This window comes from Homo sapiens, chromosome 2 (assembly GCF_000001405.40).
Source record: "Homo sapiens chromosome 2, GRCh38.p14 Primary Assembly".
NCBI classification, from domain to species: domain Eukaryota; kingdom Metazoa; phylum Chordata; class Mammalia; order Primates; family Hominidae; genus Homo; species Homo sapiens.
Window position 1 is genome coordinate 230,261,476 of NC_000002.12, and position 15,202 is coordinate 230,276,677.

Here is a 15,202-nt window from a genome sequence, read left to right on the forward strand (position 1 = left end):
CTTCCAGTACTATGTTGAAGAGGAGTGGCGAGAGTGGGCATCCTTGTCTTGTTTCAGTTCTCAGAGGGAAAGCTTTCAACATTTCCCCATTCAGTATTATGTTGGCTATGGGTTTGTCATAGGTGGCTTTTATTACCTTAAGGTATGTCTCTTGTATGCTGATTTTGCTGAGAGTTTTAATCATAAGGAGATGCTGGATTTTGTTGAATGCTTTTTCTGCATCTATTGAAATGATCATGTGATTTTTGTTTTTAATTCTGTTTATGTGGTGTATCATATTTATTGACTTGCATATGTTAAGCCATCCCTGCATCCCTGGTATGAAACCTACTTCATCGTCGTGGATTATCTTTTTGATATGTTGTTGGATTCAGTTGGCAAGTATTTTGTTAAGGATTTTAGCATCTATGTTCATCAAGGATACCAGTCTGTAGTTTTCTTTTTTGGCTATGTCCTTTCCTGGTGTTGGTATTAGGGTGATGCTGGCTTCACAGAATGAATTAGGGAGGGTTCCTTCTTTCTCTATCTTGTGGAATAGTGTCAAAAGGATTGGTACCAATTCTTTGACTGTCTGGTAGCATTCTGCTGTGAATCCGTCTGATCCTGAACTTTTTTTTGTTGGTAATGTTTAAATTACCATTTCAGTCTTGCTGCTTGTTACTGGTCTGTTCAAGGTATCTAATTCTTCCTGATTTACACTAGGAGGGTTGTATTTTTGCAGGAATTTATCCATCTCTTCTATGTTTTCTAGTTTATGTACATAAAGGTATTCATAGTAACCTTGAATGATCTTTTGTATTTCACTGGTGTCAGTTGTAGTATTTCCTGTTTCATTTCTCAGTGACGTTATTCGGGTTTTCTCTCCTCTTGGTTAATCTTGCCAATGGTCTATCCATTTTATTTACCTTTTCGAAGAACCAGCTTTTGTTTCATTTATCGTTTGTATTTTTTTTATTTCAATTTCATTTAGTTCTGCTCTGATCTTTGTTATTTCCTTTCTTCTGCTGGGTTTGGGTTTGGTTTTGGTTTGTTCTTGTTTCTCTAGTTCCTTCAGATGTGACCTTAGATTGTCAGTTTGTGCTCTTTCAGTCTTTCTGATGTAGGTGTTCAGGGCCATGAACTTTCCTCTTAGCACCGCCTTTGCTCTATCCCAGAGGTTTTGATTGTCATTCAGTTTGAAGAATTACTGTCATTCAGCTTGAATAATTTTTTAATTTCCATCTTGATTTCGTTTTTGACCCAATGCTCATTCAGGAGCAGGTTATTTAATTTTCATGTATTTGCATGGTTTTGGAGGTGCCTTTTGGAGTTGATTTCCAGTCTTATTCTACTGTGGTCTGAGAGAGTGCTTGATATAATTCCAATTTTCTTAAATTTATTGAGGCTCGTTTTATGGCCTATCATATGGTCTATCTTGGAGAAAGTTCCATGCACTGTTAAATAGAATGTATATTCTGTGGTTGTTGGATGAAATGTTCTATATATATCTGTTAAATCCATTTGTTCCAAGGTATAGTTTAAACCCATTGTTTCATTGTTGACTTTCTTTCTTGATGACCTGTCTAGTGCTGTCAGTGGAGTATTGAAGTTCTCCACTATTATTGTGTTGCTGTCTATCTCATTTCTTAGGTCTATTAGTAATTATTTTATAAATTTGGGAGCCCCAATGTTAGGTGCATATATGTTTAGAATTGTCGTATTTTCCTGTTGGACAAGGCTTTTTACCGTTGTATAATGTCCCTCTGTGTCTCTTTTAACTGCTGTTGCCTTAAAGTTTGTTTTGTCTAATATAAGAATAGCTACCCCTGCTTGCTTTTGGTGTCCTTTTGCAAGAAATGCCTGTTTCCACCCCTTTACTTTAAGTTTATGCGAGTCCTTATGTGCTAGGTGAGTCTCCTGAAGGCAGCAGATGGTTGGTGAGTTCTTATCGGTTCTGTGGTTCTGTATCTTTTAAGTGGAGCATTTAGGCCATTTACATTCAATGTTAGTATTAAAATGTGAGGTACCATTGCATTCATTGTGCTTTTTGTTGCCTGTGTACTTTTTGTTTTTATTTTTTAACTTGTATTTTATTTTTGTTTTATAGGTCCTGTGTGATTTATGCTTTAAAGAGGTTCCGTTTTGATGTGTTTCTAGGATTTGTTTCAATATTGAGAGCTCCTTTTAGCAGTTCTTGTAGTGGTGGCTTGGTAATGGCGAATTCTCTCAGCATTTGTTTGTCTGAAAAAGACTGTATCTTTCCTTCGTATATGATGCTTAGTTTTGCTGGATACAGAAGTCTTGTCTGATAATTGTTTTGTTTGAAGAGGCTGAAGATAGGGCCCCAGTCCCTCCTGTCTTATATGGTTTCTGCCAAGAAATCTGCTGTTAATCTGATAGGTTCTCCTTTGGAGGTTACCTGGTGCTTCTGTCTCACAGCTCTAAAGATTCTTTCCTTCGTCTTAAATTTGGTTAACCTGATGACAATGTGCCTAGGCGAAGATCTTTTTATGATGAATTTCCCTGGTGTTCTTTGTGCTTCTTGTATTTGGATGTCTAGGTCTCTAGCAAGGCCAGGGAAGTTTTCTTTGATTATTCCCCCAAATATGTTTTCCAAGCTTTTAGAATTCTCTTCTTCCTCAGGAACACCGATTATTCTTAGGTTTGGTCATTTAACATAATCCCAGACTTCTTGGAGGCTTTGTTCATATTTTCTTATTCTTTTTACTTTATCTTTGTTGGATTGGGTTAATTCAAAGACCTTGTCTTTGAGCTCTGAATTTCTTTCTTCTACTTTTTCAATTCTATTGCTGAGGTTTTCCAGAGCATTTCACATTTCTAAAAGTGTGTCCAAAGTTTCCTGAATTTTTTATTGATTTTCTTTAAGCTATCTATTTGCTTGAATATTTCTCCCTTCACTTCTTGTATCATATTTTGGATTTCCTTGCATTGGGCTTTGCCTTTCTCTGGTCCCTCCCTGATTAGCTTAATAACTACCCTCCTGAATTCTTTTTTGGGTAAATCAGGGATTTCTTCTTGGTTCGGATCCATTGCTGGTGAACTAGTGTGATTTTTGGGGTGTGTTAAAGAGCCTTGTTTTGTCATATTACCAGGGTTGGTTTTCTGGTTCCTTCTCATTTGGGTAGGCTCTGTCAGAGGGAGGGTCTAGGGCTGAAGGTTGTTGTTCAGATTCTTTTGTCCCATAGGATGTTCCCTTGATGTACTATTCTCCTCCTTTTTCTATGGATGTGGCTTCCTGTGAGCCAAACTGCAGTAATTGTTGTCTCTTTTCTGGGTCTAGTGACCCAGTGAGTCTACCAGGCTCCAGGCTGGTACTCGGGGTTGTCTGCACAGAGTCCTGTGATGTGAACCATCTATGGGTCTCTCAGCTGTGGATACCAGTGCCTGTTCTGCTGGAGGTGAAGGGGGTGCAATGGACTCCATGGGGGTCCTTTGGTGGTTTAATGTTCTATTTTTGTGCTGGTTGGCCTCTTGCCAGGAGGTGGCACTTTCCAGAGAGCATCAGCTGTGGTATTATGGGGAGGAACCGGTGATGGGCCAGCCCTAGAATTCCTAAGGTTATATGCCCTTTGTCTTCAGCTGCCAGGGTGGATAAGGAAGAGCCGTCAGGTGGGGGAGGGGCTAGGCATGTCTGAGCTAAGACTCTCGTTGGACATGTCTTGCTGCAGCTGCTGTGGGGGATGGGGGTGAGATTCCCATGTCACTGGAGTTGTGTACCTGGGAGGATTATGGCTGCCTCTGCTGAGTCATGCAGGTTGTCAGGGAAATGGGGGAAAGCTGGCAGTCACAGGTCTCACCCAGCTCCCATGCAAACCAAAGGGCCAGACTCACTCCCACCATGCCCCGCCCCAACAGCCCCCAGACCATTTCCAGGCTTGAAAACCTGCCCCAGGCTATCTGCCTCCCAGCTGCAGAAGAAAAAGGCTTGGTTCTTCCCCACCTGTGGAGTCTGCACACCGGATTTGCGCCCTCACAAGAGTTCTGTCCAGGAGGCGTCTCACCCTGTTCAAATTGTTACAAAGTTCAGCTAGAGATTGGCTTCTCCCTGTGTAGTTTTACCCCCTGCTCCTCTCCCATTGGGTCCCTGTGGTGCCAGGCAGGAATGGCCTTCTAGGGGACCCAGCCACCTCCCAGGCCCTTTCCGCTGCTTCCCCCTACACCTGTATTTCCCTCATCTCTTCAGATTGACTCAGCTCCAGGTAAAGTCGGAAACTTCTCCCACAAACAGACCTTCAGCTTCTCCAGTGGGGGTGTGTGTTCGGGAGAGGAGGGTCTCCTTTTCCCACTTCTGCAGTTGGGGCACTCTCAGTTTTACGGGGGGGGGCGGTCTCCTGGGTCCTGCAGGTGCAATCTGCTTCCTTCAGAGGGTCATGTTGCCTAGGCTGGTCACGAACCATGGCCTATTTTTTATGTACGTATAAAAGAAAAGGATTATGATAAAGGAGAAAGGGAGACAGGAGACCTGTCTCCTGATAATGTGATAATAGAAGATTCAGTGTGGGTGACTGATGAAGGAGTATTTTAAAATCGTGAAGATCTGTTCCATTTCTGTGTTCCATGAGAATGGCCCCAAGATATTTGGGTCAAATGTAGGGAGGCCTGGTATTTCAGAAAAGATTGACCCCCATTGTCTTCAAGACTCAGTTAATCCTAGAAATCCTCTTATCTTTCCTTCAGTCATTGGTCTTGGGAAACTCTGAAGACATTGTAACATTTCTTTATATAATATTATTTCCTCAGCCAATAGATTATGTCTGAGAAAATAGCCTAGTTTTTGTTTTGTTTCATTTTGTTTGTTTTACAAACTTGGAGTTTTTCCTTAGAAGTTTTATGTCCATTTTTGCCCAACTCAATGAATAGATTAAGAAATGTCTAGATCTATAGAGTATAATAGAGGTGACCTATGCATCAGATCAGAGAAGATGCAGGTATGAGCTTTGTATCCCTTAGGCCGTATTTAAAACTTGGAAGAAGATGGTTGTGTTCGTTTTTCATTGCTGCATGACAAATAACCACAAATGTAATGGCTTACTACAATACCCACTTGTTATCTCACAGTCCTGCCAGCAGAAGTGTGGGTGGGCTCAACTTAGTTCTCTGCTTAGAGTCTCCTTAGGCTGAAATTAAGATGTCAGCCCAGCTGAAGTCTTGGCTGAAGGCTCTGAGAATCTTGCAATCGAGCTCACCCAGGTTGTTGACATAATCCAGTTCCTCGTGGTTGTTGAACCGAGGTCACAGCTTTGTTGCTGGTTGTTGGTCACGGACCACTCTCAGCTCCTGGAAGCCAATCATATTCCTTAATACATTGCCCCTCCATCTTGAAGCCAGCAATCTTGTGTGGAATCCTTCTCACACTTTGAATCTCTGACTTCCTCTTCTGCTGCTGGCTAGAGAAAACTCCCTGCTCTTAAAAGGCTCATAAGGTTAAACCAGATCCACTCTATTAGTCTCTCTTAAGGACAGCTCTGCCATATCACATAAGGTAATTATGGAAGTAATATCTCATTATGTTCACAGTCCTCAGGATTAGGGAAAGAAATATTTGGGGGCCATCTTAGAATTCTGCCTATCGTCAAGGAAATTCCTAGAAAATAACTGTCCAGATAAGCCACTGATTTTCCCAAGCAAATAATATTTATCTTTATCAAGTGAGACATTAAACAAAGCTGAACATAAATATATTAAAAATTTTGGCTTTAGGTGAGACTGAAGAGATTGTAGTAATCTGGTTAGGAGGTACAGGGAAGTGAGGTATACCTATTTTGTTTATTGCTTGCAGACCTCAAATCATCCGTAGTGTAGGTATACTAATGGTCAGGTCAACTATACATAGATCATGTGTCAGAGAATTTTCCAGGACTTCTAAAATTAGTCCTTCTTCTGAACCTTTAATCTGGTAGTTCTATTTGCAGAATAGATCCCTACCTATTACATTTATAGAGGTTTTGTTGAAAACAGTGTTCCTCAGATAATGGTCTGAAAGTAATAGATTACTGGTTGAGATGTGGAAACATTCAGTGATTTTTTTCTCTTCTTTTATAGACCTACTTGTCAAATGTGTTACTTACTTTGGACATGACAAAACCTCCCCATTGCAAGCCAGAGTCATTTTAGGGAAAATTTTGCCAGTTATTAAGAAAAGTACAAGAGTTAGAATCATGATGAAAGTATACAGAGGAAGTGAACATTTTGTCGGGGAGATTATGGCTTTGGCAAAGACAATCCCGTGACAAACAGCAAAGAGGCCACTATATTTCAGTATAAGTGTGAATGGTGTGTTCCACATGAATGAAGCAGAAACTGAAAAGGGGACATATGATTAATTACATGATTGTAGTTGACTCCAGATTACATACTAAACAAAATGATTTTCTTTCACAAATTGACAAGACACTAGGTGCCCTCATGAAGGTTTTGATGAGGGACCCAAGAAAAAATGTGACCGAACATCTTTGCACAGTTTGGCTACTGTCTAATGGACCCACATCCATTAGTTTTAGGGGCTGGCTTGAATTGAGGACTTATCAGACCTTGACCACCAGCTGTTTGCTTTGGATCACTGTCTTCTAACATTCAGAAAGCACAGGAAAATCAGGAACAAGCACACATGAAATAAGACTTTTTGTTTTTTTGGTGGGGTTTTGCTATGTTGCCCAGGATAGTCTAGAATTCCTGAGCTCAAGCCATCTGCCTGTAATATGACCTATTAACAGGCATAAGCCACCATGCCTGGCAGAGATAAGACTTTTTAAAAATAGACAGAAGAGGCCGGGTGTGGTGGCTCATGCCTATAATCCCAGCACTTTGGGAGGCCGAGATGAGTGGATCACCTGAGGTCAGGAGTTCGAGACCAGCCTGGCCAACATGGAGAAATCCCCTCTCTACTAAAATTACAAAAATTAGCCAGGCGTGGTGGCAGGCACCTGTAATCCCAGCTACTTTGGGAGGCTGAGACAGGAGAATCTCTTGAACCCAGGAGGCGGAGGTTGCAGTGAGCCGAGATTACGCGGTTGCACTCCAGCCTGGGCGACAAGAGTGAAACTCTGTCTAAAAAAAAAAAAAAAGACAAAAGAAAGGTAACAGTAGATGAAGTAGTGAAACAAGTAAATAAGTAAATAAGCACATTAATTGAGAAAATGTTTGCTAAGTGGTGTACTTCCAACTGAAAATATCTAATTGTATCTAATTGTATACCCATGTTTAAATAAGATAAATTCAGAACTAGGAGCTCAGTGAAACAAGTCAGAGTTCGAGTTGTTGTTGAGAAAGATTCACTTGGCAGTAGGTCAGAAAAATGACCTGAGCTGGACACAGTGGCCTGAGATTCATGCCTGTGGTTCCAAGGGTCCCACAGGACACTCCCCAGCAAGAATCTTCAAGATAATCTCGGCAGGAACTCCAATTTTTGAAGGGCTAGGCTACTACTCATAATCTGAAACTAAAAGCTGATTTATTCCTAGCTAAGCAAGGCACCTAGTGGGAGGAGGCCCTGTGCTTGTAAGACACAGTCTCTATAGAAAAGGAAACTGCAGTTTTATAGAGAGTTTTAGGAAGCATATTGTGTAGGGACTCCAGACCTTCAGAAACAGGAGTGTTTATGAGTAATTTAGCATTTGGCCATCAATGCAGGCTTTGTGGAGGGGGTGTTGCTGACTGGCTGGGCTTCAGATATGTAGAACTGCCAGTAATGGGCTCGCTTTCAGAAATGTGACTGGGGATATAAGTAGTCAGTGGCCAATTGGGATGAGTTTAAATAGTTGCTTTTCACTATTGTCAAAGAACAGTAGTATTTTCTGGAATGATAAGAGTTTCCTTGCTTTATTCTCAGGACTACAAGTACAAAAATAAAAGTAGAGAAAAGGAGGATGAGGTGCATAACATGGGGAGAGCGTGGCTCTGTTATGTGTCAAATGTGATTATTGGAGCAGGTATATTTTTTTCCAGAGAACAGTTCATCTTAGCTCAGAATATCAGTGTGCAGTATAGCAGCACTGGAAACTCTTCTGTGGTCATTGTCTCAGGATCCTTGGACAATAATTTTCTTGTTTCTCATTAGTGTCTAGTGAACTAGAAAATCACCCAATGAATGAAGAAGGAGAATCAGAAGAGCTTGCTTCTAGCCTGCTATATGATAATGTACCAGGTAATTATGACTTAAAAATAGTGAAAACAGAAACAGAGTTCTGATAAAGAGAAAAAGGAGGAGAAAAAATAGACTTAAAGGAAGAGTCAAATATAAGGAGGAGCAGTGAAAGGAGAAGATTTCAGAGGAAAAAGTAAAGAAGGGGGAGCAACAAGGGTGCAGAAAATAGAGTCACTGGGTCAAACTGAAAGTCTTCATGAATCACAATTTTGGCCCAGGAGCGGAGCAATCAGCATATGAAAATGAGAAGTGTTCCTGTGTCATGTGTTTCTCAGAAGAGGTGCCAGGAAGCCCAGAAGCAAGGACGGAAAGTGATCAAGCGTGTGGCACAATGGGTAAGGCTGTCTGAGGGCCGTGGGATGGGGGTGGCTCAGTGGGCCCCACAGACCCCCAGTAGGGTGGAGGTAGGTGCTCCAGTCTGTCCAGAATTCTATTCTCCGCATTTGCTTGACCTGAGCCTTTGGGGAGCTGCAGGGAGGCAAGAGATCGTTATAAAGTACTATTTAAGAGGATGGACTCTGTTGATTAGACATAGATGATGTCATAGAAGTATACTCTTTGCAATGGCACTTATCTTGTGTATTGCATTAGTATATTAAGTTACACCCAATCTTCCATGAAGCCCAGGATACCCCAGTGAACTTCTGCTGGTAGATAATAGTGTCACTTTGCTACAACTTAGAAAGGCCACACTCAAAAGACAACTAATCCCGGTACTTAATTGTCAGGAGGAAAGACTGCAGGTCTACTCTTCTTAGCCCAACACGTATTTTTGATAGAAGACCCAGGGCCCATCCTAGACTCCTAGTTCTCAGTTCGGTGGGTTTTTGGTTCCCCTAGAAGAAAGAGAGGAATGATTATCCAAGCATCTGTATAAACTCAAGCCTTCTGTAGTATACATTGTCCTAAAATCTATAACTTTTATTTATTAATTTCTGTTTCCTCACCACCACTTGTTATTTTCCAGATACTGTGGATATTGCAAACAACTCCACTTTGGGAAAACCCAAGAGGAAAAGAAGTAAGAATAAATAAGAATTTATTTGCTTTTGGTATTACAAATACGTTTTTAATGCCAGAGTTTTAATTTTGTCATTGTTACTATTTCTGTTATTATTTGTAATACTGTGGTAGACAGAAGGATGACCTCCCTAAGATGTCTACCTCCTAATCCCTGGACCTGTAATCTGCTATCTTACATGACAAAAGGGACTTTACAGATACAATTAAGCTAGAGACCTTGAAATGGGGAGATGATCCTGGGTTATGGGGTGGGCACAATCTAATCTTGTAGGCCTTAAAGAGTGGAAAACTTTTCCTGGCTGTGGAGAAAGGAAGATGTGACTATGGAAGAATCATCAGAAATATGTCATGTTGCAGGCTTTGAAGATGGAAGAAGGGACCAAGGAATATGGGTGACCTCTAGGAGCTGAAAAGACAAGGAAATAGCTTGTCCTTTCCAGCTCCCAGAAAGGAATTACTTTAGCCAGTGAGACCCATGTCACACTTCTCACTGACATAACTGGAAGAAAATACATTTGTGTTGTTTTAAACCACTAAATTGGTGGTAATTTGTTATGGCAGCAATTAAGAGTAATACAGATTTTGGTACTTAGAAGTAGGGTGTGGCTATTAACATATTCCTGAAAGTGTTGGCATGCCTTTGGGATTGGGCAATGGACAGAGGCTGGAAGAATTTTAGATTATGATCGGAAAAGCCTATATTGCCTTGAGTAGTCCTTAGTAGAAACATGGATGCTAAAGACTGTGCTAGTGAGGACTGAGAAGGAAGTGAAGAACATGGGAGAGAAAGCCTATATTGCGTTAGAGAAAACCTGGATCATCATGAGCAGACTGTTAGTAAAAATATGGAGGTTAACTGTGTTACTGGTGAGCACTCAGAAGGACATAAGAAAGATGTGGAAAGGGCCTCCTTATTATATAGTGGTCTGTCCTGTACTCATGTGAAAAGCAGAACTTTCTGGATCTATAGCTAAGGAGATTTCCAAACACAGTGATCATGGTGTGTTGTGGTGTCTTTTGCTAATTATAGTAAAATGCAAGAGGGAAGAGGTATATTGAAGGAAGAGCTGCTAAACGAAAAAGAATCAAGTCTTGATGATTTAGAAAATTCCCAGCCTATCCAGGTCAAAAAACATGATAAAATGAGGAGATTCACTGTCAGGGACGTGTGCTTGGTAGAAACAACAAAGACTTTTTGCCAGTTCCCTGGGAAGTAGTGAAAGGTCAGATTATACATTCACAAAAAAAGTTATTTGAAGAGACGTAGCATGTGACTCATAAGTCCCTCAGCCATCTCAGCAGAAGTCAAAAATAGATGTGCGTTGCTACAAAAAGAATAAAATACCTAGGAATACAGCTAATTAGGGAGGTGAAAGATCTCTACAAGGAGAACTAAAAACCACTGTTCAAAGAAATGACAGATGACACAAACAAATGGAAAAACATTCCATGTTCATGGATAGGAAGAATCAATATCATTTTAAAATGGTCATACTGCCCAAAGCAATTTATAAATTCAATGCTATTGCCATTAAGCTACCATTGACATTCCTCACATAACTAGAAAATACGATTTTAGAATTCACATGGAACCAAAAAAGAGCCTGAATAGCAAAGGCAATCCTAAGCAAAAAGAACAAAGCTGGAGATATCATGCTACCCAATTTCAAGCCATACTACAGGGCTACATTAACTGATATGGTTTGGCTGTGTCCCCACTCAAATCTCATCTTGAATTGTATCTCCCACAATTCCCAAGTATTGTGGGAGGGACCCAGTGGCAGGTAATTGAATCATAGGGGCCGGTTTTTCCTGTGCTATTCTCATAATAGTGAATATGTCTTCATGAGATCTAATAGTTTTATAAGGGGGAGTTTCCCTGCACAAGCTCTCTCTCTTTGCCTGCCATCATCCATGTAAGACGTGACTTGCTCCTCCTTGTCTTCCACCATGATTGTGAGGCTTCCCCAGCCACATGGAACTGTAAGTCCATTAAACTCTTTTTCCTGTATAAATTACCCAGTCTTGGGTGTGTCTTTATCAACAGTATGAAAACAGACTAATACAGTAACCAAATCAAGATGGTACTGGTACAAGAACAGACACATAGCCCAGTGGAACAGAAAAGAGAACCCAGAAATAAGACCAAACACCTACAACTAACTGATCTTTGACAAACCTGACAAAAACAAGCAATGGGAAAAGGATTCCTTATTCAGTAAATGGTACTGGGATAATCAGCTAGCCATATACAGAAAATTGAAACTGGACCCCTTCCTTACACCATATACAAAAATTATCTCAAGACAGATTAAAGAATTAAATGTAAAACCCAAAACTATAAAAACCCTGGAAGATGACCTAGGCAATACCATTCAGGACATAGGCATGGGCAAAGAGTTCATGACAAAGATGCCAAAAGCAATTGCAATAAAAGCAAAAATTGAAAAATGGGATCTAATTAAACTAAAGAGTTTCTGCACAGCAAAAGAAGCTATCATCAGAGTAAACAGACAACTTACAGAATGGGAGAAAATTTTTGCAAACTATGCATCTGACAAAGATCTAACATCCAGCATCTGTAAGGTACTTAAACAAATTTACAAGAAAAACAAACAGCCCCATTAAAAAGTGGGCAAAGGATATCAACAGATAACTTTTCAAGAGAAGACATACATGCAGCCAGCAATCATATGAAACAAAGCTCAACATCACTGATGATTAGAGAAATGCAAATCAAAACCAAAATGAGATACCATCTCACACCAGTCAGAATGACTATTATTAAAAGGTCTAAAAACAACAGATACTGACGAGGTTGTGGAGAAAAAGGAATGCTTATACACACTGTTGCTGGGAGTGTAAACTAGTTCAACTATTGTGGAAGACAGTGTGGCAATTCCTCAAAGACCTAAAGACAGAAATACCATTTGACCCAGCAATCCTATTACTGAGTATATACCCAAAGGAATATAAATCATTCTATTATAAAGACATATGCACATGTATGCTTATCTCAGCACTGTTCACAGTAGCAAAGACATGGAATCAACCTAAATGTCCAGCAATGATAGACTGGATAAAGAAAATGTGGTTCATGTACACCATGGAGTACTGTGCAGCCATAAAAAAAGAATAAGATCATGTGCTTTGCAGGGACATGGATGGAGCTGGAGAGTATTATCCTTAGCAAACTAATGCAGGAACAGAAAACTGAACACCACATGTTCTCACTTATAAGTGGTAACGAAATGATGAGAACACATGAACACCTAGAGGAGAACAACACACACTGAAGCCTATCAGAAGGTTCAGAAGGTGAAGGGTTGGAGGAGGGAGAGGATCAGGAAAAATAACTAATAAGTATGAGGCTTAATACCTGGATGATGAAATAATCTGTATAACAAACACCCATGACACATGTTTAGCTTTGTAACAAACCTGCACATATATCCTTGAACTTAAAGTATAAAAAAAAAAAAAAATAGATGTGTGAATTCCTAGGAAAGATCTGTAGGGAAGCTTCATGTCTAATGGAGGAAATCAGAAATCCCCATGATATATGCAGGAGATCCATAAGACTCTTGAGGGTTTTGTACCAAGAGAAACAAAGATTTCCATGTCCTATCTCCTAGAACCTATAATCTGTTACTTTACATGGCAGAAGGGACTTTGAAGATGTAATTAAGTTAAGGATCTTGAGATAAGATCACATGGGCCACTAAAGTCAGAGAACATATCCTTCTGTCGAGAGAGGGATGTGTGACTATGGAAGAATGGTCAGAGAGAATAGAGCTGGATGTGGAGATGGATGCAGGGGTCCATCAACTAAAGAATGTGGGCAGCCTTCCGAAGCTGGAAAAGGCTCCTCTGTGGCCTCCAGAAAGGAGCAAAGCCCTGCAGACACCTTGATTGATTTTAGCCCTGTTAGGTGCATGTCAGATTTCCAACCCTCAGAATTATGAGACCACAAATCTGTGATTTTTTTGTCACTAAATTTATGGTAATTTATTACAGCAGCAATACCTTTTGTAAGACAAAAAAAAAATTTCACCCTATACGGTTATATTCAATCTTCTAAACTAACAATTTATATTTTTTCAAATTACTTACACCTTTATGCTTTTTTTTTCTGATTTTAAAATACTTGTTCCCTGTAAACTTTGCTGTACATATTTCTATATTTTTTTCTATGCTTTGTTAGCACATTTAGAATTATGTGATATATCTAAATGAATACATTTAAACTGTTACATTTCTTTTTAAATCAATATAACATGCACTGGATATTATAAACATTTAATATCTTGCCAACTTAACTGTAAAAAAAAGTTTTATTTCATTCCTGTTTTAACTTACATTGCTTTCATTTTTGGTGCAGTTGAGCATTCTTCATTTGTTATTGGCCATTTTTGTTTCTTCTCCTACGAGTGCCTGGAACTTATATTTTGCCAGTGTGTTGTCTTTTTTTCCCCATGCTTTAGGACAACAGGAATACTTATATATGATATATACTAAGGGTTGACTACGTGTGTTGTCATATTTGATGTTATTCTTTTACGTTTCTTTGTGGTATAGGCACATCTCGTTTGATTGCACTTCACTTTATTGTACTTTGAGGATATTGTGAGTTTTACAAATTAAATGTTTGTGACAACCCTGTGTCAAAAAAAGTCTGTTGGTGCCCTTTTTCCAACAGCATGTGCTCACTTTGTGTCTCTGTCACATTTTGGTAATTCTCGCAATATTTCAAATTTTATTATTATTCTTCTTCCTGTTATGGTAGTATGAACAGTGGTAACAATGATCTTTGATGTTACTATTCTAACTGTCTATGGCACCACACACTGTGTTCGTATAAGATGGCAAACCTAATAAATGTTGTGTGTGTTTCAACTGCTTCACTGACCAGCTGTTCCCCTGTCTCTCTCCCTCTCTTTGACTTTCCTCTTTCCTGAGACAAAAAAATATGGAAATTAAGTCAATTAATAATCCTACAATGGCCTCTAAGGGCTCAAGTTAAAGGAAGCGTCACATGTGTCTCACTTTAAATAAAAAGCTAGAAATGGTGAGGCTTAGTTAGGAAGCCATGTCAAAAGCTGAGAGGCTGAAAACTAGGCCTGTTGCAGCAAACAATCAGCCAAGTTATGAAGTGCTACTCCAGTGAACATACGAATAATAAGAAAGTAGAACAGTCTTATCGCTGATATGGAGAAAGTATGAGTGGTCTGGATAGAAGATCCAACCAGCCACAACATTCCCTTAAGCCAAGCCTTAATCCAGAGTGAGGCCTAAACTCTCCTCAATTCTATGAAGGCTGAAAGATGTGAGAAGCTGCATAAGAAAAGTTTGTGGCTAGCTGATGTTGGTTCCTGAGGTTGAAGGAAAGAAGCTGTCTCATAACATTAAAGTGCAAGGCGAAGCTGCAAATGCTGATGTAAAAGCTGCAGAAGGTTGTCCAGAAGATCTAGCCAAGATCCTAGATGAAGATGGCTACACTAAACAACAGTTTTACAGTGTAGACTAAACGGCCTTTTATTGGAAGAAGATGCCATCTAGAACTGTCATAGCTAGAGAGGAGAAGTCAATGCCTGGTTTCAAAGCTCCACAGAACAGGCTGAGTCTCTTGTTAGAAGCTAAGGCAGCAGGTGACTTTCCCTTGAAGCCAATACTCATTCACCATTCTGAAAATCCTAGGGCCCTTAAGAATTATTCTAAGTCTACTCTGCCTATGCTGTATAAGTAAAATAAAGCCCAGATCATAGAACATCTGTTTACAACATGGTTTACTGAGTATTTTAAACCCACTGTTGAGACATACTCCTCAGAAAAAAAGATTCCTTTCAAAATATTACTGTTCATTGACAGTGCACCTAGTCATCCAGGAGCTCTGATGGAGATGTACAAGGTGATTAGCATTATTTCCATGCCTGCTAACACAACGTCCATTCTGCAGCCCATGGATCAAAAAGTAATTTCAACTTGCAAGTCTTAATATTTAAGAAACACATGTTGTAATGCTATAGCTGTCTCTAT

At 39.8% G+C, this 15,202-nt stretch overlaps 1 protein-coding gene across 37 annotated transcripts in view, besides 1 other annotated feature; it reads left to right on the forward strand.

The window, feature by feature from the left end:
- Nucleotides 1–15,202, forward strand: part of SP140 (SP140 nuclear body protein) — a 130,421-nt gene that overhangs the window by 75,325 nt on the left and 39,894 nt on the right. For all 37 annotated transcript variants that reach the window (XM_047443073.1, XM_011510517.4, XM_006712223.4 and 34 more), the window contains 3 exons: nt 8,057–8,143; nt 8,362–8,478; nt 9,111–9,164. In XM_047443073.1, coding sequence (XP_047299029.1) covers nt 8,057–8,143; nt 8,362–8,478; nt 9,111–9,164 — 258 coding nt within the window. The remainder of the gene's footprint in view (nt 1–8,056; nt 8,144–8,361; nt 8,479–9,110; nt 9,165–15,202) is intronic.
- Nucleotides 3,307–3,828: an enhancer, noted in NCBI's record as "H3K27ac-H3K4me1 hESC enhancer chr2:231129497-231130018 (GRCh37/hg19 assembly coordinates)". NCBI's record gives its function as "activates a minimal SCP1, AML or CMV promoter by ChIP-STARR-seq in naive H9 embryonic stem cells {active_cell/tissue: H9 hESC(naive)}" and the evidence as "EXISTENCE:reporter gene assay evidence [ECO:0000049][PMID:30033119]".